General features: G+C 39.1%; 1 protein-coding gene and 1 long non-coding RNA gene across 10 annotated transcripts in view, besides 3 other annotated features; both read left to right on the top strand.

Moving 5' to 3' along the window:
- The window catches only part of WDR41 (WD repeat domain 41), a 189,645-nt gene that overhangs the window by 123,659 nt on the left and 44,945 nt on the right, over window positions 1-21,041 (top strand). For 5 of the 9 annotated variants that reach the window (XM_005248551.5, NM_018268.4, XM_011543507.3 and 2 more), the window contains exons 1-2: window positions 4,603-4,749; window positions 7,347-7,462. The exons of 2 other annotated variants lie outside the window; for them this stretch is intronic. In XM_005248551.5, the coding sequence (XP_005248608.1) occupies window positions 4,699-4,749; window positions 7,347-7,462 (167 nt within the window). In that variant the 5' untranslated portion in view covers window positions 4,603-4,698. Of the gene's footprint in view, window positions 1-4,602; window positions 4,750-4,921; window positions 5,510-7,346; window positions 7,463-21,041 lie in introns of those variants that run through there. 2 more of the 9 variants (XM_017009606.2, XM_011543505.3) reach the window with 2 other exon arrangements.
- Window positions 4,218-5,141: an enhancer, noted in NCBI's record as "H3K27ac hESC enhancer chr5:76787603-76788526 (GRCh37/hg19 assembly coordinates)". NCBI's record gives its function as "activates a minimal SCP1, AML or CMV promoter by ChIP-STARR-seq in primed H9 embryonic stem cells {active_cell/tissue: H9 hESC(primed)}" and the evidence as "EXISTENCE:reporter gene assay evidence [ECO:0000049][PMID:30033119]".
- Window positions 4,298-4,437: a silencer, noted in NCBI's record as "silent region_16111". NCBI's record gives its function as "represses an Ori minimal core promoter by ATAC-STARR-seq in GM12878 lymphoblastoid cells {active_cell/tissue: GM12878}" and the evidence as "EXISTENCE:reporter gene assay evidence [ECO:0000049][PMID:35858748]".
- Window positions 4,878-5,097: a silencer, noted in NCBI's record as "silent region_16110". NCBI's record gives its function as "represses an Ori minimal core promoter by ATAC-STARR-seq in GM12878 lymphoblastoid cells {active_cell/tissue: GM12878}" and the evidence as "EXISTENCE:reporter gene assay evidence [ECO:0000049][PMID:35858748]".
- Window positions 11,378-14,952, top strand: LOC124901009 (uncharacterized). Its single transcript, XR_007058828.1, has 2 exons — window positions 11,378-11,506; window positions 14,063-14,952. It is a non-coding gene; the product is annotated as an uncharacterized LOC124901009 (long non-coding RNA).

Genomic DNA, 21,041 nt, shown 5'->3' with positions numbered 1-21,041 from the left:
TATTCCATTGGTCTACATGTCTGTCCTTGTGCCAGTACTATTACTTTAACTTCGTGGTAAGTTCCACAGTTGGGAAGTGTGAGTCCTCCAACCTTATTTTCTTTTTCAAGATTATTTTGGCTATTTGGGACCCCTTGCAATTCCATATAAATTTGAGGATTATTTTTCCATTTTTAGGAACAAGATTATTGAAATTTTGATAGAGATTGCATTGAATCTGGAGATTGCTTTGGGAAGTATTTATATCTTAACAATGTTGTCTTTCTATCCAAGAGCTTGGACGTCTTTTTATTTATTTAGGTACTCTTTAATTTCTTTCAGCAATGTTTTGTTGTTTTCAGTATAGAAGTCTTTCACCTCCAGGGTTAGATTTATTCCTATGTATTTAATTATTTTAGATGCTATTGTAAATGGAATTGCTTTATTAGTTTTCTTTTTGGATTGTTCATTGCTGGCAAGTAGGAACAACACTAATTTTTTTTGTATTAATCTAGTACCCTGCAACTTAGCTGAATTTATTTATTAGCTCTATACCTTTTTTGTGGATTCTTCAGGATTTTCTATATATAGGGTCATATCATCTGCAAATAGAGAGAGCTTTACCTCTTCCTTTCCAATTTGGATGCTTTTTACTTCTTTTTGTCTACTAGCTCTGGCAAGAACTTCCAATACAGTGTTGAAGAGCAGTGGTCAAAGAGGACATCTTTCTTTTGTTTCTCATCTTAGGGGAGAAGCTTTCAGTCTTTCACCATCGAATGTGATGTTAACCATGGGTTTTTCATAATTACTTTTTATCCTATTGAGGAATTTCCCCTCTATTTCTGGTTTTCTGAGAGTTTTGTGATAAAAGGGTGTTGGATTTTGTAAAATGCCTTTCTGCATCAGTTGAGATTATCTTGTGGTTATCTTCCTTTGTTTTATTAATGTGATGTATTACATTGGTTGATTTTCTTATACTGAACCACTCTTCCATTCCCGGAATAAATCTTACTTGGTCATAGTAAATAATACTTGTTAATATGCTGTTGGATTTAATGTGATAATATTATGTCAAAGATTTTTTTCATCTGTAGTCATAAGGGATATTGGCCTATAATTTTCTCTTTTTGTGATTTTTTTTCTGGTTTTGGTATCAGGGTAATGCTGGCCTTGTATAAGGAGTTAAAAAGTGTTTCCTCCTCTTCACTTTTTGGAAGAATTTGAGAAAGATTTGTGTTAATTCTTCTTTAAATGTTTGGTAGATTCATCAGTAAAGCCATCTGGTCCAGGACTTCACTTTTTTGGGAGGTTTTTGAATACTGTTTCAATCTCTTTACTTGCTATAGGTCTGTTAATATTTTCCATTTCTTTCTGAGTCAATTTAAATAATTTGTGTATTTCAAGGAATTTATTCATATCTTTTAGGTTATCTAATTTGTGTTCGATTGTTCATAGTGGTCGCATAGTCCCTTTTCTCTCTGCAAAGTCAGTAGTAATGTCTCCACTTTCATTTTCAATTTTAGTTATTTGCATTTTCTCTTTTTTTCTTTGTCAGTCCAGCTAAAGGTTTTTAAATTTTTTTCATCTTTGCAAAAGACCAACTTTTGGTTTCATTGATTTGCTCTATTTTTTCTATTCTCTATTTTGTTTATCTCTGCTCTAATTCTTATTATTTCCTTCCTCCTACTAGTTTTGGGTTTCATTTGCTCTTCTACTTCAAGTTCCTATGGTATAAAGTCAGGTTATTGATTTTAGATCTTCTTTTTTAATGTAGACATTTATACCTATAAATTTCCCTTTAAGTACTGCTTTTACCGCATCCCGTAAGTTTTGTCGTGTTGTGTTTTTGTCTCTAGGTATTTTATAATTTCTTTTGTGCTGCTTTTTCTTGTGACTCATTGGTTGTTTGAGTGTTTTGCTTAATTTCAACACATTTGTGAATTTTCCAGTTTTACTTCTGTCACTGATTCCTGTTGTGGTCAGAGAAGATACTTTGTGTGATATCTATCTTTTAAAATTGATTGAGACTTATTTTGTGGCCTAACATATGGTCTATCTAAGAGAATGTCTTACATGTGCTTGAGATGAATGTTTATGCTGATGTTGTTGGGTAGTGTGTTCTTTATATGTTAGATGTAATTAGTTTATTGTGTTGTTTATGTCCTCTATTTCTTTACCTTGTCTGGTTGTTCTATCTATTATTGAAAGTGGACAGATGAAGTCTGCTACCATTGTTGTAGAACTATATCTTTCTTCAATTCTGTTAAGTTTTGCTTCATAAATTTTGAGGGTCTATTATTAGGTGTGTAAATATTTGTAATTGTTTTATCTTCTTGCTATATTGACTATTTTATTAATATATAACATAATGTTTCTGTCTTTGAAAACTTTTTTGATTTAAAGTCTATTTTGTCAGCTGTTAGTACAGCCACTCCAGTTCTCTTTTGGTTACTATTTGCATGGAATATCTTTTTCTATTCTTTCCCTTTTGATCTATTTGTGTCTTTGATCTAAAGTCAGTCTTTCATAGACAGCATATAGTTGGATTCTAGAGTTTGGTTTTTTTTTGTCAATCTGCCTTTTCTTTGGACAGTTTAATCTATTTATATTTAAAGTAATTACTGATAAAGAGGAATTTCTATTTTTCTATTTGTTTTCTATATGCCTTATAGTTTTTTTGTACCTCATTTTCTCTATTACTGCCATCTTTTGTATTTAGCTTATTTTTTGTAGTAAATGTTTTGATTCCCTGATCATTTCCATTTATGTATATTTTACAGGTATTTTTGTGTTTACCATGAGAATTACATTTAACATCCTAACGTTATAACAATCTCATTTTAATTTATACCAACGTAACTTCAATAGCATACAAAGACTCTGCTCCTATATTGCTCCACCCCCACCCTTTCTATTGATGCCACAAATTACATCTTTATACATTGTGTGCCCAATAATATACTAATCTTGTAAAAAATTCTTTCTTAGCTGTCCTAAGAGGAACCAAGGGAGGAAGTGTTCAACCCTGGACCAGTGCTTTAAAGCATCAGCAGAATGTCCCTTACATCAGAGTAATGTGGCATTGGGCAAACCCTAAAGAGCATGGGGCAAACCCTAAAGAATGTGGATAATCAGAAGAATAAAATGTAGGCTATTTGGGCAACCACATTGTCTCACGTGAAGATATTCCTTCCAGAACTGAACTCCTGATGTCTCTGAGTTTTGTTTTACTTAAAGATAAGTCCCTCTTTCCCAGGGGATAGTCTCTGTTTTGGTCTGTCTTCAACTGTATGCAGACTGCAATTTGGGGCTAGCACACAGAAGGCAACATGCTCCTGATCCTTGGGAGTGTGTTCTTGCCGAGTGCACTCAAAAGGAATACAAAGATGAATTATAGGAGATCCGAGTTCCAGAGGGACTGTAAGTTTGTGTAGCTGCTCACAACCAACTTAGCTTAAAGTGGGATGTATGGCTCTCTCTTATTGGTGACTGGGACATTATGCCTTGTCCCTCCAGAGCAGCATTTTATGTGATTCCTTTCTGCTTCTCTAGTGCATCTGTGTCCAATACATGTTTGCTGAATTAATGCATTAGTTGGGACATTTGTAGATTCCCTACAACAATTTACTGCTAGGAGGATTATTTGAACCTAATACATATGCAAATATATATATTTATACTTTTGCAAACATGATATGTATAAGTAGTTCCTAGACCAGTGATTTTCAGACCTTGCTACTCATCAGAATCACCTGAGGAGCCTTCCCAAAACCCCGATTCCTACGTCCCAACCACAAAGATTATTTTAATGAGTCTGAGGTGGAAGCCAGGAATCTACATTTTCAAAAGCTACCCAGGTAATTCTGATATGCAGTCAGCATAGATAACCACAGCCCTTTGACTACCTAAGAAAATGTAGTAGTCAAAAAAAGGTATATGAACTGCCTTCTATTCTTTAGGGAGATTCTATGTTAATATAGCATACGGTCAAGAACACTACCAATGTAGCCACTTCCTAGCTGTTATCTTTAGACAAATTACCTAATCATTCAGAGCTTTAGTTTCTTGATGTGTAAAATAGAGGATATAGGTTTACCATGAGGATTTATGTAAAGCCTTAGCACAGTAGCTGTACTATAGCACACAGTAAATGTTGGCCGGATTTATTCGGCTGTACACATGAGCCACTGGATTTGTCTGGATGCAGAAGTCTACTGCGGTACACCTTCTTCAGCAAGCTCTTGGGAAAGCAGGGGAGATTTCCTGGTACCCTAGGAAGTGGAGGATACTAAAGCCATGTCACAGGGAGGGGCATTATTCTTCGTGCGCGCTTGCTCGCCGGGGTCGGGTTGCTGCTCCGCGCGCGTCCACCAGGGGCCGCTCGAGCTACCTAAGCTCCGTGCGCTACCCGGCGGCGCTCCCGCGCGTGCTCACTCGGAGCAGCGCGCGCCCCGCAATCGCCGCAGCCGCCCCCGCCGTCGGCCGCCGCACCCCAAGCGACTGCCCAAACTAAGCCTCCGTGGCTGGGTACGGGAGCGCTTTGGGGACAAAAATTCTCCCTCAACTGTGGTCTGCATTCCTTCGGCCCGTGGGCTGATCTGGGGCGGGAAGTATTAGCGTCTCAGTTGCGCTGCAGCCGGGGAGGAAGGAGGAGGCCGAGCCTGGGGCGGAGTTTGGGCTGACTGGGGCTGGACCGGGCAAGACGCCGCCGCTGCCCGGATGTTGCGATGGCTGATCGGGGGAGGCCGAGAACCGCAGGGACTGGCCGAGGTAAACCCCGGGTGGGTCTGCTCTGCGTCCGTCGAGCTTGCTGGAGGGGCGGCTTCGTTCCGGTTCGGCCTTCCTGGGTTCCGACCGCGGGGACCCGGGCGGAGGCGGGGCTGGCTGCTGAGCTCGTGCCACGCGCTGTTCTCACGACGGTGGGGGCGGAGGGCGCGGGAGCCGGAGCTCCTCAGACCCGGCGGGACCCCAGGCGCACCCTGGAGCTGCAGACCCCCGGCCCCGTCCCACGGCTAGCTGAATCGTGAGATCCTGGCTCAGGGACGCTCAGCTGGTCAGCAGTCCTATTGGGACCTGTGACAACTTAGGGCTTCTGGCTACCGAAACTATCTTCATTTCCACTTAAAAAGTATACGATTTAGCTAGAAACGAACGAGTTGTGACCGCAGCTTTCCACTTTTGGTTTATTTGAATTGGTGTCTCTTCCTGGCGTCTACTGATACTTGGTCAGGGAATATAAAATTAATTTACTTATCCAACAACCGAAAAAGGATATAATTATTTTTAAAAAGTAATCTGCTTCAAGGTCAAGAACATGATTTTCTAATTAACTGCTGTTTTTGGTTTCATAGTCACACTTTCTTCATGGGCCCGAATAATTGAATAGACCGTGTGTAATGAAATTTACATTTGAAATGTGAATAAAATAATTTTTGCAGTCTTGGAAATTTTGAGGTCCCAAATTTATTTCGTATGCCACACAAGAACTTTCATGCGCGTCCGTGTGAAGAGACCACCAAACAGGCTTTGTGTGAGCAATAAAAGCTTTTAATCACCTGGGTGCAGGCGGGCTGAGTCCGAAAAGAGAGTCAGCGAAGGGAGATAGGGGTGGGGCCGTTTTATAGGATTTGGGTAGGTAAAGGAAAATTACAGTCAAAGGGGAGTTGTTCTCTGGCGGGCAGGAGTGGGGCAAGGTGCTCAGGGGAGCTTTTTGAGCCAGGATGAGCCAGGAAAAGGACTTTTACAAGGTAATGTCATCACTTAAGGCGAGGACCGGCCATTTTCACTTTTGTGGTGGAATGTCATCAGTTAAGGCGGGGCAGGGCATTTTCACTTCTTTTGTGATTCTTCAGTTATTTCAGGCCATCTGGGCGTATATGTGCAAGTCACCGGGGATGCGATGGCTTAGCTTGGGCTCAGAGGCCTGACAAGAACAGAATTTGTGAATTGCATTTTATTTCTCATAAGAAGTATTTGTTTAGATTGTTAAAAGTAAGAAATTGGATTGTTGAGAGTAGGCAGTCTTCTCAATTTTAACTTCCGCATGTCTTTGCAGTTGACGGTATTGTCTGTTTTTAAAAATTTCTTATTTCAGATTAATCCTAAATCCTTGAGATTGTGGATTATTGAATAGCCATATATGGTATATACGACATTTTGGATAATTCTGTTTTAACCTGGTTCTTTGGTTAATCATGTTATTTGCTTAACCAGGTCTCCCATTCCTGGCAAGTTTTCATTGGAGGAGAAGCAGTTTATATAGTTTTCAAATTTCTCACCACAATCTCTTCTAGAAGGAAGACAGAATAAATACAAAATCAATGCTTTGTGGTGGTGGTTTTTTTTTTGGAAAACATTTATGCATGTTTTAAATTTATATATTTCTTCATATAAATCTAATTGAGTTGTATAACTGCTGTGAATTTGTACATTATCGGAACCTATGATTGTCCCTAATTTATGCAATAACTTTGTATCCAGGCTTCTCGTTTAAGCAGTGGTTCTCAACTGGGGTGATTTTTGCCCCGCAGGAGACATTTGGCAATGTCTGGAGACATTTTTGATTGTCATGCCTTGCAGAGGGGCAGTTCTATTGGCATCTAATGTGTATAGACCAGGGATGCTGCTCAATGTCCTGTAATGCACAGGACAGTTCTCAACAACAAAGAATTATCTGGGCTGGGCGCGGTGGCTTACTCCTGTAATCCCAGCACTTTGGGAGGCCGAGGCGGGCGAATCACTTGAGGTCAGGAATTCAAGACCAGTCTCGCCAACGTGGTGAAAACCTGTCTCTACTAAAAATACAAAAATTAGTTGGGCGTGTGGTGCGAAAAAAAAAAATTCTCTAGCCCAAAATGTCAGCATCAAGTTTGAGAAATCCAGAGTTGATTTCATGCCTTCATTTATTCATTTAGCAAGCATGTATTGAGTGCTTGTAATGGATGAGGCACTGTTTCACTATTTTATGTCTTTGATTTGCAGTTTTGTTTCTGCCACATTTTAACTGAGAAACATGCATTCTAAAATGTTGAGTTGGATTGGCCCATTACTTTTTTTAAAGTGAGGTTTAATAGGATACAATTTACATAAAATAAAATTCACCCTTTTTGTAAATTTATTGTGATTTGAAAATACTAAAATTCATGATTCGAATTTGTGGTAGGAGAAGTGTTTTATGTGGAACTGGCAGTTATTTAGTTGATAAAAGAAGAAATAATATTTAGTAGTAGAACATGATACCTTAAGGCTTTTAAAATCTTGTGTTCTCAGATGTATACCATGGAGTTATATTCCAATATGGTCTTACAAATCATTTTATCTCTTTTTTTGTCTTTTGTTTTTTGCTTTTTTTTTTTTTTCAATACAAGAAATCTCCTTTACAGACAATAGGTGAAGAACAAACCCAGAATCCCTACACTGAACTGCTAGTACTGAAGGCTCATCATGATATTGTACGATTTCTGGTACAGTTAGATGACTACAGGTAAGAAGCTATAGTGGTCTAATTGACTATTGTTTGGGAAGAGGTTTTAGGGAATTTTATGTTAAACACCTTTAAAATTAATACATCTTTTCTAAAAATTTAAAAACTGTGATCATTAGTAACATTTAGTAGAAATTGAAATTGGCCTCTGCATCTCGATGAAATATGTATCTAGAGTCTTTTTTGCCCAAAGTCAGGGTGTCGTGTCTGGTGATTTGAGGGTTATGTTTGTTTGTTTGCATTCTCAGAAATATTCTTAATAGTTTAAAAGAAGTGTATGACTTTAAAATTTGGGTAGGAGTTATAACAGTATATTAAGGAGAACTTGTATTTGAGAAACAAATATGCTAAGTGTTTAAGTATCAGGTACCTACCAGGAATGTTTTATTTTTAGTGGAAGGTAAGTTTAATCCAAAGTTTTTGTTATTGATGAAACCACTTGAAAATGTACATTATTCTGTACTTCCTTGCTAACATGTATAATAATTATGTTTAATATATTTGCAAATAGAGGTGAAGGTGTATAGGCTTTAGGACTGTAGACTATTACTGATATGTATATATGTATATTAAGCCCATATTCAACTGTATATCTTTTATAGCATGTTTCACCATAATAATTACATAATTAGTGGTGTAATTCAATATTTTCGTCCTCTCTAAAATGTAAGCTTCATGAGAATGAGGCTATGTTTTTCTTATTCACCATGTTTTCTTAGTACCTAGTACAGTGCCTTACATGTAGCAGATAATTCATAGATGGTGGCTGAGTGAATGAATGACTCTCCAGACTACTAAGCATCCACATTGAATGCCGTCCTAATCCCCCAACCTCATTTCTGTTGTCTCTACTAGTTTTTCCACTTTCATCTCTAATTTTGTCTTTTGCCTTTGCTGTTTTTTTTCACTCCATGGATGAGTGTTACTGTAATTATTCCTAACTCTGACCACCACTTCTGCTGTCTATTAACCTTGTCTTTTCTCTGCTTTTTTTTTTTTAATTTAATTTAATTTTTAAAATAGAGACAGGGTCTCACTATGTTGCCCAGGCTGGTGGGCAACTCCTGGGCTCAAGCTGTCTTCCCACCTTGGCCTCCCAAAGTGTTGGGATTACAGGCATCAGCCACCGTGCTCAGCCTTCTCTCTGCTCTTTAAATGTTACTGATATTTAGTTGCTTTACCATGTGCAGTGCAGTTCTGACATTACCTGGACTTAGGTCAGATTCCACAGATGAAGGGCATAGTCTATACAGCACCCCTCACTGGAGACACTAGCTGCAAGCCATGTATGGGTTTGTAGGCCACTTGCATTTCCAGCTGCTGGCTACAAGTTCCTGCTGTTCCCTCAGGTCTGATAATTCACTAGAAGGACTCACAGAACTGAGGAAAGCACTATACACAGGATTACAGTTTTATTATAAAAGATACAAATTAGGACCGGCCAAATGAGAGGATGTATATAGGGCAAGGCCTAGGGGGTCCCACATGCAAAGCTTCCATGTCTCAAGACTCCTCGCCCTCTTGGAACATCAGTGTGTATCACCAATGAATGAGCACACTTGAGCTTTGGGTGTCCAGAGCTTTCATTAGTAGGCATGATTGTTTGAATCATTGGTCACATAATTGAACTCAATCTTCAGTCCCCACCCTCCCCACCGTGACTGGTAGCAGAAAGCCCAAACCTTTAAATCATGTGGTTCATTTTTCCACCTTGGCCAGCCCCTTTCCTGATGTTATCTCAGGGCCCACTGTGAGTTGTTCCTTTAGTATAAACTTAGGTGTGGTCCAAGGGACCCACCATGAATAATGAAGACATTCTTACCACTTGGAAAATTCCAAGGATTTAGAGACTCCCTTCTAGGAACCAGAGACAAAGTCCAGCAAAGTTATTAAACAGTACCATGCTTCTTAACTTTTGCTTGAAAAGATTTGTCTCATATATATTACTGGCCTGTCATCACTGTTTTCCTGTTGTGATGCAAGTCAACCAAATCATGGCATGTTAAACAATCATCTGCAGCCTTTTTTTTGGCAATGTTACTTGTTGCTATGTCCTGAGAGACACTCCATTTATTAAAGTGGTCATTTTTGTGGGGAACTAATTATTTCTGGAAAGGTAAGATTTTGGACAGCTAAAGTTTTCTTGCGCTATATTTTACCCTAGTAAGTTGCTAGATTAAAGAAAATCTGATAATTTCTTATAATCACTAATACTTGGGTGTTAAGGAATCCTAAAGTTATTTTGTCCAGGAAAGTTAAATAATAAATACACAGTATGTGATCAGGTTGTGGACTTTAAATATTTGTATAAATTGTTAAGAGATCATGTTCATTGCTGTCTTTCCTCTGTGAAATATCCTCTTGGCTATTCCTATCCCATAGTTAGAAGAGGACTCTGTAGAAGAGGCCAGCCTATAGAATAATGGTTAGTGTACAAATGCTGACATATATTTGGTTTAATTTTCCCCACAGTGGTGCTCACATATACTTTAGTTGTTTAATGATAGAGTAAATATTCTGTAAAGAGTAAAAAGCCATATGTGGGTATGTTAGTTACCTATATGCTCTGTCAGCTGTCACACCAAACTTAGTGGCTTAACACAACCCCATCTATTTAGCTCATTATTCTGCAGGATGGCAATTCGGGCTAGGCTCAGCTGGGTGAGTCTGTCTTTGCACCAGGAGCAACTGATCTTGGCTAGATTCACTTATGCCTCTGTCAGCTGGTAGATTGGCGGGGGCTGGCTGGTTCATTTCAGCTGAAGGTCTCAGCTGAAATGACTGTGGTCTCCCTCCATGTGGTTTTTCAGGTGCTTGTTCACATAATGATCATGGAGTTCTAATAGCAGCAGAAGGGCAAGCCCCAAAGTAAGACACTTTTCAAGTCTCAGCTTGCCTCGTGTTTGCTGCTGTTTCGTCAGCCAAAGCAAGTTAGGAGCTGGCACAAATTCAGTGAGTGGGTAAATAAACTTGACCTCTCATGGTAGAAGTAACTAAGTCCTATTGCTAATGGTGGTGGCAATATTGGGAGGGGGAATAATTTGTGGCCAGTTTGTGATCTACCACAGTGAGTCTAAGATAGATGAAGAAGCCTGCTTTTTGGCTTTTGTAATACAGTGATGATATGACTTCATGATTCACATTTAATTCTTTGAAAAGTCATCAAATTTACATATAATCAACTATGAAGTTTTTCGGTCATTTGCTGACCTGTAGAACTTTCAGTCTGTATGTTGTTTTTAAAAATTTAATTCTGTAGTGTACTAAAAAAGAAAAACCGAAAGAGTCATCTTCGTAAGAAGGACACAGGAAAATCTACAAAGTATAAACATTATGAACAGAATTAACCGAATGTTTTTACTCTTAATAGTTTAGAATTATCTTTACCATTGCATATGTACATTATGCATTGTCAAATTAGAGAAATACCTTTCCAGTTTTAAAATTTTATATCATTATCCTTTTTTTGTTTCTTAGTTTTTGAAGACATTACACTCTGGGTTTTTTTTGGTCAGCTGTTATAATCCAGGTTTCACGCTTCAAGTCTTTAGATAATATCATCTTATTGAAAATTTTGCAGAAGGATTTTCTTGTTTTCTCAGTGGCTCAGCTAAAATCAGTGAGTGGAAAATTTTCTCGGATTGGTTTTTGAAGATACCCAATAAATCCTGTATAACCTAACAGACAGCTGCCTTTTCTTTTCTTCTTTAGTATTTTTTGAACATGAAGTGAGGGTCGTATTGATGAGAGATCACTAAAGAAGGTTAAGCCTCAGCAAAAGTCTTCCAAAAAATGGGCTGTGCTAAAATTTCATGTAATACTCTAGCGTTTGACACATTAAACTAAACTGAGTTCATAACACATTTTAAGAAGAGTTTTCTCCGTTGCTCATTTGACCATTCCTTGCTCCTTCAGGAAACAGACAAGGTTATGTAGGATGGTGATCATGACTGGAAAGGAATCAGATGACCCATGATGAAGTGCCAGATTGGAGAACAAAATGTGCCTCTAGGATGGTTGGTGAAGCTGTACATTCACAAGAAAGTAAATAAACTCAGTATAGCTTGATAATCCACTAAAAATGAACAATATGCTCATTTTAAAGGAAATATTCTCAAGCTAAACATATTCTTTCTTATACACTAACCTTCAGAGAACAGAAATCAGTATAGTTTAGATCCTAGGATCTGGGTTCCCTGGGAAACAGATAGTCAGTATAGATCCTTCTAGTACCTGGGTTCCCTGGGAAGGAGACACTAAAATGGAGACACTAAGCATGCAATAGGTTTATAAGAGAGAAAGCCAATGAAAGGAGAAGGGAGGAAGCAGAATTGGATAAGGGGAGCTGTCTCAGACTCTGATGCAGATGTGACAAAGTTTCTGCCAGCCCAATGGGGACCGCTGGAGGAAAGGCTGCTTTTTAAGAGTTCTCTACTGGATGTAAATAACTAGGGCTTTGTACTATTGCCTTGCTTAGTTATTTGCTGAGGGTCCTTCATGAAGAACATGCACCTGGCTTCTACTATCTTGCTTAAATCCCAGTGACTAGGAGCCGATTGAGCTAGTATAACTTTGGCTTGAAGGCAGAAATGGATCCTGAAGTCAACAGCTGGAGGCAGTCAGATAACTATATTCCTCACAGCTGGGCAGTGAGTCCTGTCTTGAAAGGGGGTCTGGAAGGCAGGTATTGGCGTCTGCCACACTTCCATAGTTGTAAGTTGGTCTATTTTATTTTTAACTTGCATGAACATACTCATTGGCTATGTCTTTGGGCAGCTTTTTAAGAAACTGTAAGTATGCCATTGGTTAATAGTTATTTGATGGCTTGAAAAAGTTAATATTTTTAGAGCTATTAACGTACTTATGCCTGGAAAAAAGGGTATAACCAGAATCCTTTTTATCACAAATTCCAGCAGCTACAATATTAATAACAGACTCCATATCTGGCATTTTTTTAAAGCACTTATATCCAGTGTGACGTTGACTTTAGACAACTTTATTATAGTAAATTTTACTAAAATCTGTTAACCAAATAGCTTTTCTATTTCTAAAGGCCCCTAATCCACCATGTGTGGTGAATGTGTTGATTGAATTTCTGTTGTTTTGCATCGTGCCCTGAATCAAGCGGGGAATTTCGGCAGTGTCATCACACAGATGCGTGTGCCACCCTTGCTGCTTTTCTCCTTATTTCTAATAATTTTGTCCTTTCAGCTTGTGTTTTGGAGCTGTAGCTGAGTTTTGTTTAGTTGGATAAGATGTTGCAGGGTTTGGGAGGATGACAGGAGTGAGTGAAACGGTAATTGCTGCTTCATGCATTAGCATAGAATCAAATTTTAGGATAAGGACAGCAAGTGTCTAACAGTATTTCAGTTTCAAATTTGTCATCTTAGCAGTAAAACTCTAATTTCTAGATAAAATCAGTCTCTCTCAACTACAAAATACCCTTACTCTAGGCATTTGAAAATTATTTTCTTGAACATCTTTCAAATGTAGCTTTAAAAATCCATCTGGCAACTTGAGCATAGATACAGGAAGTAACTGCAATGAATTGCAACATATCACATATGTTTAAATCCATGTGTTCATAATGATACTTAAAAAAGAGAACTCACCTTTGGAGAATGCTGGGGAACTAACTCATTCTGTTGAAAATCGGTAAATAAAAGGGCAGAGTCAAAATCTATACTGCCTTTCTTATATAAACTGTGTCTTGGGATCAGTAATAATTGACGAGAAGAAATTTCTCTGAAGAATTCAAGCTAGGAAGAATGATAGAATTAGAATATTGTAATTTTGCAACCTCTAATGTGTAGAGGAGGAAAACACTTTTCTTCTACCTATCTTAGATTCATTGATCAGGGCTCTACAACTTAGACATACAAAAGACAGGTTAATGAGCGAAAAAGAAGTATATCAATGCATACGTTGCATACACACACACACACACACACACACACACACACACACACACACACGAGTATTCAGGTAACTCGTAGGGGTGGTTAAAACTTGGGCTTAGGCTGGGCACGGTGACTCAGCCCTGTAATCCTAACACTTTGGGAGGCTGAGATGGGAGGATTCCTTGAGCTCAGGAGTTTGAGGCTAGCGTGGGCAACATGGCAAAACCATGTCTCTATTAAAAAATACAAAAATTAGCTGGGTGTGGTGGTGCACACCTGTGGTCCAAGCTACTTGGGAGGCTGAGGTGGGAGGATCACCTTAGCTCAGGAGGTTGAGGCTGCAGTGAGCTGTGATCGGGGCCACTGACTGTAGCCTGGATGACTGAGTAAGACCCTGTCTCAAAAAAGAAAAATAAAACTTCAGCTTATATAGCATCTTAGCAGAACAAGAAATTTGTTGAGTGACAAGACAAAGGAAATGGACTTTGAGTTTCTTGGGGTGGCAAATTGTGAGAAGGCAAATATATGATGGAAACTGCTGGTAGAGAAGGGCTCATTAGTGAGGTTGGTTTGTGTAAACTCTTGGTGCCATCTCATCTGTGATAAAGGTTGTTATCCCCCTCCTGGTATGGGAGTGGGGGTGGAGGTTCCGGGGGCACTTTCCCAAGGGTGATGTGTGCTTTTTTTTTTTTTTTTTCAGGTAGATGTGGGGAGGACAGAGCTCATTCTGTGCCTGCATTTTCTCAGTTGCCTTAAGCTGAAAATAATCATTATGTCAGAGTGGCATAGTTTGGGGTTATGTGCTCTGAACCCCTTCAAATGAAATAATGAATTTAGATGGCCTAAATCATAACATATACACATACACACACAAGATAGCCAGAAATTATATTTCCGGATGGAGTATACAATCTGCCTTTGGGGTGGTCTTACCAAAAAGTCAGATATGGATCTTATTTAGTCTCTAGATTTAACTATCAATTAACAAAAAATACAGAGGACAGAGGTGCATGTTGGATAACAGCACAGGAAAAAAAACCCAGACTGTGAGAACTCGACAAGACAGGTGAATTTTTTTTTCAACAAATAAATTGCAAGGAAAAACAGATGGAGAAAAAAATCATTAGAATAAAAGAGATATTAGAGATAAATCAACCAAGTGTACTATAGAAGCCTTATTTGGATCCTTCTAACTGTTTAAAAAATTACGATCAGCTAAATTTGATCATTGACTGGGTATTTGATGACATTAAGGAAGTAAATGTTAACTTAGGTGTGATGTAAAAGAGTCCTTAGAGATGCATTCTGAAATACTGACAAAATGAAATACAGTGACTAGGATTTGCTTCAAAATAATTTACAGAGGGGTTGGACTGGGTGCAGATAAGACACTAGTGGCCATAAATTGATAATTACTAGAGACAGGCAATGAGTACATGTGGCTTTTTATTATAATGCCCTTCTCTCCACTTTTGTATATATTTAAATTCTCCGTAATGAAAAGTTAACTATCTGTATTTGAAATAGAGGAAATAAAAATGCCAATTTAAAAGGTATTTATGCCTCTGTGAAATAAAATGTTTTCTTAGATATTGCTAGTGTTCTGAGTGTTCAGTGGAGAACCACCCTTGTTTCTCTTTGAGAACAGAATTTATTGAGAATAGTTGTAGGAATCATACAGATGAACATGAACATATCAGCTTCATAAAGTAATAACCGATACAAAACTGGATTACCAGATATGGCTCTTTTTTTTTTTTTTTTTTTTTTTTGAGACGGAGTCTCGCTCTGTCGCCCAGGCTGGAGTGCAGTGGTGTGACCTTGGTTCACTCCAACCACCGCTTCCCAGGTTCAAGCGATTCTTCTGCCTCAGCCTCCCGAGTAGCTGGGACTACAGGCATGTGCCACCACACCGAGCTAATTTTTGTATTTTTAATAGAGACAGGGTTTCACCATATTGGCCAGGCTGGTCTCGAACTCCTGATCTCGTGTTCCGCCTGCCTCGGCCTCCCAAAGTGCTGGGATTACAGGTGTGAGCTACCAAACCCAGCCAGGATGTGGCTTTAATATGTACCCACAGTGGATTTCCTTAACACTTCACCCTGAGTCAAGTAGACTATTTCAATGAATCCCTGGGGCAACTGAAGAGTTGCCAGCCTCCCATTCAGATACAGGCTTACCTCAAAAATAAGAGCAGACCAGTATGTTCCCTCTCTGTGAACAGATGAATCTTCAGAAAACCCACAAGGGGCCGGGTATGATGGCTCATGCCTGTAATCCCAGAACTTTGGGAGGCCAAGGCGGGTGGATCACAAGGTAAGGAGTTTGAGACCAGCCTGCCCAACATGGTGAAACTCCATCTCTACTAAACATACAAAAATCAGCCATGCGTGGTCGTGGGTGCCTGTAATCCCAGCTGAGGCAGGAGAATCGTTAGAACCTGAGAGGCAGAAGTTGCAGTGAGCTGAGATCACGCCATTGCACTCCAGCCTGGGCAACAGGGCGAGACTTTGTCTCAAAAAAAAAAACAACCCAGAAAACCCACAAGGGTCTGAACTGAGCATGCCTAATTCATTGTCTCAAGCAAGTGGGGCAGAGAGAGACCAAGAATGTTTCTCTAGTAGTGGGAGTCCTCCATGGAAACTTGAGTGCAGGGGAATGGAGGTTCACCTAATAGAAGTCACACAGATTTTTTTGGTATTCTAATACTGTAATCTTTTTTTTTTTTTTTAATTATACTTTAAGTTTTAGGGTACATGTGCACAATGTGCAGGTTAGTTACATATGTATACATGTGCCATGCTGGTGCGCTGCACCCACTAACTCGTCATCTAGCATTAGGTATATCTCCCAGTGCTATCCCTCCCCCCTCCCCGCACCCTACAACAGTCCCCAGAGTGTGATGTTCCCCTTCCTGTGTCCATGTGTTCTCATTGTTCAGTTCCCACCTATGAGTGAGAATATGTGGTGTTTGGTTTTTTGTTCTTGCAATAGTTTACTGAGCATGATGTTTTCCAATTTCATCCATGTCCCTACAAAGGACATGAACTCATCATTTTTTATGGCTGCATAGTATTCCATGGTGTATATGTGCCACATTTTCTTAATCCAGTCTATCATTGTTGGACATTTGGGTTGGTTCCAAGTCCTTGCTATTGTGAATAGTGCCGCAATAAACATACGTATGCATGTGTCTTTATAGCAGCATGATTTATAGTCCTTTGGGTATATACCCAGTAATGGGATGGCTGGGTCAAATGGTATTTCTAGTTCTAGATCCCTGAGGAATCGCCACACTGACTTCCACAATGGTTGAACTAGTTTACAGTCCCACCAAGAGTGTAAAAGTGTTTCTATTTCCCCACAGCCTCTCCAGCACCTGTTGTTTCCTGACTTTTTAATGATCGCCATTCTAACTGGTGTGAGATGATATCTCATTGTGGTTTTGATTTGCATTTCTCTGATGGCCAGTGATGGTGAGCATTTTTTCATGTGTTTTTTGGCTGCATAAATGTCTTCTTTTGAGAAGTGTCTGTTCATGTCCTTCGCCCACTTTTTGATGTGGTTGTTTGTTTTTTTCTTGTAAATTTGTTGGAGTTCATTGTAGATTCTGGATATTAGCCCTTTGTCAGATGAGTAGGTTGCGAAAATTTTCTCCCATTTTGTAGGTTGCCTGTTCACTCTGATGGTAGTTTCTTTTGCTGTGCAGAAGCTCTTTAGTTTAATTAGATCCCATTTGTCAATTTTGGCTTTTGTAGCCATTGCTTTTGGTGTTTTAGACATGAAGTCCTTGCCCATGCCTATGTCCTGAATGGTAATGGTTAGGTTTTCTTCTAGGGTTTTTATGGTTTTAGGTCTAACGTTTATGTCTTTAATCCATCTTGAATTGATTTTTGTATAAGGTGTAAGGAAGGGATCCAGTTTCAGCTTTCTCCATATGGCTAGCCAGTTTTCCCAGCACCATTTATTAAATAGGGAATCGTTTCCCCATTTCTTGTTTTTGTCAGGTTTGTCAAAGATCAGATAGTTGTAGATATGCGGCGTTATTTCTGAGGGCTCTGTTCTTTTCCATTGATCTATATCTCTGTTTTGGTACCAGTACCATGCTGTTTTGGTTACTGTAGCCTTGTAGTATAGTTTGAAGTCAGGTAGTGTGATGCCTCCAGCTTTGCTCTTTTGGCTTAGGATTGACTTGGTGATGCGGGCTCTTTTTTGGTTCCATATGAACTTTAAAGTAGTTTTTTCCAATTCTGTGAAGAAAGTCATTGGTAGCTTGATGGGGATGGCACTGAATCTATAAATTACCTTGGGCAGTATGGCCATTTTCACGGTACTGATTCTTCCTACCCATGAGCATGGAATGTTCTTCCATTTGTTTGTATCCTCTTTTATTTCATTGAGCAGTGGTTTGTAGTTCTCCTTGAAGAGGTCCTTCCCATCCCTTGTAAGTTGGATTCCTAGGTATTTTATTCTCTTTGAAGCAATTGTGAATGGGAGTTCACTCATGATTTGGCTCTCTGTTTGTTGTTGGTGTATAAGAATGCTTGTGATTTTTGCACATTGATTTTGTATCCTGAGACTTTGCTGAAGTTGCTTATCAGCTTAAGGAGATTTTGGGCTGAGACAGTGGGGTTTTCTAGATATACAATCATGTCATCTACAAACAGGGACAGTTTGACTTCCTCTTTTCCTAATTGAATACCCTTTATTTCCTTCTCCTGCCTAATTGCCCTGGCCAGAACTTCCAACACTATGTTGAATAGGAGTGGTGAGAGAGGGCATCCCTGTCTTGTGCCAGTTTTCAAAGGGAATGCTTCCAGTTTTTGCCCATTCAGTATGATATTGGCTGTGGGTTTGTCATAGATAGCTCTTATTATTTTGAAATACGTCCCATCCATACCTAATTTATTGAGAATTTTTAGCATGAAGTGTTGTTGAATTTTGTCAAAGGCCTTTTCTGCATCTGTTGAGATAATCATGTGGTTTTTGTCTTTGGTTCTGTTTATATGATGGATTACATTTATTGATTTGCGTATATTGAACCAGCCTTGCATCCCAGTGATGAAGCCCACTTGATCATGGTGGATAAGCTTTTTGATGTGCTGCTGGATTCGGTTTGCCATTATTTTATTGAGGATTTTTGCATCAGTGTTCATCAAGGATATTGGTCTAAAATTCTCTTTTTCGGTTATGTCTCTGCCCGGCTTTGGTATCAGGATGATGCTGGCCTCATAAAATGAGTTAGGGAGGATTCCCTCTTTTACTATTGATTGGAATAGTTTCAGAAGGAATTGTACCAGTTCCTCCTTGTACCACTGGTAGAATTCGGCTGTGAATCCATCTGGTCCTGGACTCTTTTTGGTTGGTAAACTATTGATTATTGCCACAATTTCAGATCCTGTTATTGGTCTATTCAGAGATTGAACTTCTTCCTGGTTTAGTCTTGGGAGGGTGTATGTGTCGAGGAATTTATCCATTTCTTCTAGATTTTCTAGTTTATTTGCGTAGAGGTGTCTGTAATATTCTCTGATGGTAGTTTGTATTTCTGTGGGATCAGTGGTGATATCCCCTTTATCATTTTTTATTGCATCTATTTGATTCTTCTCTCTTTTTTTCTTTATTAGTCTTGCTAGCAGTCTATCAATTTTGTTGATCCTTTCAAAAAACCAGCTCCTGGATTCATTAATTTTTTGAAGGGTTTTTTGTGTCTCTATGTCCTTCAGTTCTGCTCTGATTTTAGTTATTTCTTGCCTTCTGCTAGCTTTTGAATGTGTTTGCTCTTGCTTTTCTAGTTCTTTTAATTGTGATGTTAGGGTGTCAATTTTGGATCTTTCCTGCTTTCTCTTGTGGGCATTTAGTGCTATAAATTTCCCTCTACACACTGCTTTGAATGTGTCCCAGAGATTCTGATATGTTGTGTCTTTGTTCTCGTTGGTTTCAAAGAACATCTTTATTTCTGCCTTCATTTCGTTATGTACCCAGTAGTCATTCAGGAGCAGGTTGTTCAGTTTCCATGTAGTTGAGCGGTTTTGAGTGGGATTCTTAATCCTGAGTTCTAGTTTGATTGCACTGTGGTCTGAGAGATAGTTTGTTATAATTTCTATTCTTCTACATTTCCTGAGGAGAGCTTTACTTCCAACTATGTGGTCAATTTTGGAATAGGTGTGGTGTGGTGCTGAAAACAATGTATATTCTGTTGATTTGGGGTGGAGAGTTCTGTAGATGTCTATTAGGTCTGCTTGGTGCAGAGCTGATTTCAATTCCTGGGTATCCTTGTTGGCTTTCTGTCTCGTTGATCTGTCTAATGTTGACAGTGGGGTGTTAAAGTCTCCCATTATTATTGTGTGGGAGTCTAAGTCTCTTTGTAGGTCACTCAGGACTTGCTTTATTCATCTGGGTGCTCCTGTATTGGGTGCATATATATTTAGGATAGTTAGCTCTTCTTGTTGAATTGATCCCTTTACCATGATGTAATGGCCTTCTTTATCTCTTTTGATCTTTGTTGGTTTAAAGTCTGTTTTATCAGAGAGTAGGATTGCAACCCCTGCCTTTTTTTGTTTTCCATTTGCTTGGTAGATCTTCCTCCATCTTTTTATTTTGAGCCTATGTGTGTCTCTGCACGTGAGATGGATTTCCTGAATACAGCACACTGATGGGTCTTGACTCTTTATCCAATTTGCCAGTCTGTGTCTTTTAATTGGAGCATTTAGTCCATTTACATTTAAAGTTAATATTGTTATGTGTGAATTTGATCCTGTCATTATGATGTTAGCTGGTTATTTTGCTTGTTAGTTGATGCAGTTTCTTCCTAGTCTCGATGGTCTTTACATTTTGGCATGATTTTGCAGCAGCTGGTACTGGTTGTTCCTTTCCATGTTTAGCACTTCCTTCAGGAGCTCTTTTAGAGCAGGCCTGGTGGTGACAGAATCTCTCAGCATTTGCTTGTCTGTAAAGTATTTTATTTCTCCTTCACTTATGAAGCTTAGTTTGGCTGGATATGAAATTCTGGGTTGAAAATTCTTTTCTTTAAGAATGTTGAATATTGGCCCCCACTGTCTTCTGGCTTGTAGAGTTTCTGCCAGGAGATCCGCTGTGAGTCTGATGGGCTTCCCTTTGAGGGTAACCCGACCTTTCTCTCTGGCTGCCCTTAACATTTTTTCCTTCATTTCAACTTTGGTGAATCTGACAATTATGTGTCTTGGAGTTGCTCTTCTCGAGGAGTATCTTTGTGGCGTTCTCTGTATTTCCTGAATCTGAATGTTGGCCTGCCTTGCTAGATTGGGGAAGTTCTCCTGTATAATATCCTGCAGAGTGTTTTCCAGTTTGGTTCCATTCTTCCTGTCACTTTCAGTTACACCAGTCAGACGTAGATTTGGTCTTTTCACATAGTCCCATATTTCTTGGAGGCTTTGGTCATTTCTTTTTATTCTTTTTTTCTCTAAACTTCCCTTCTCGCTTCATTTCATTCATTTCATCTTCCATCGCTGATACCCTTTCTTCCAGTTGATCGCATCGGCTTCTGAGGCTTCTGCATTCTTCATGTAGTTCTGGAGCCTTGGTTTTCAGCTCCATCAGCTCCTTTAAGCACTTCTCTGTATTGGTTATTCTAGTTATACATTCTTCTAAATTTTTTTTCAAAGTTTTCAACTTCTTTGCCTTTGGTTTGAATGTCCTCCCGT

The sequence above is a fragment of the Homo sapiens genome, chromosome 5 (assembly GCF_000001405.40).
Source record: "Homo sapiens chromosome 5, GRCh38.p14 Primary Assembly".
Taxonomy (NCBI): domain Eukaryota; kingdom Metazoa; phylum Chordata; class Mammalia; order Primates; family Hominidae; genus Homo; species Homo sapiens.
The sequence above is the reverse complement of the archived record's forward strand: the minus strand, read 5'-3'. Positions and strand labels throughout refer to the sequence as shown.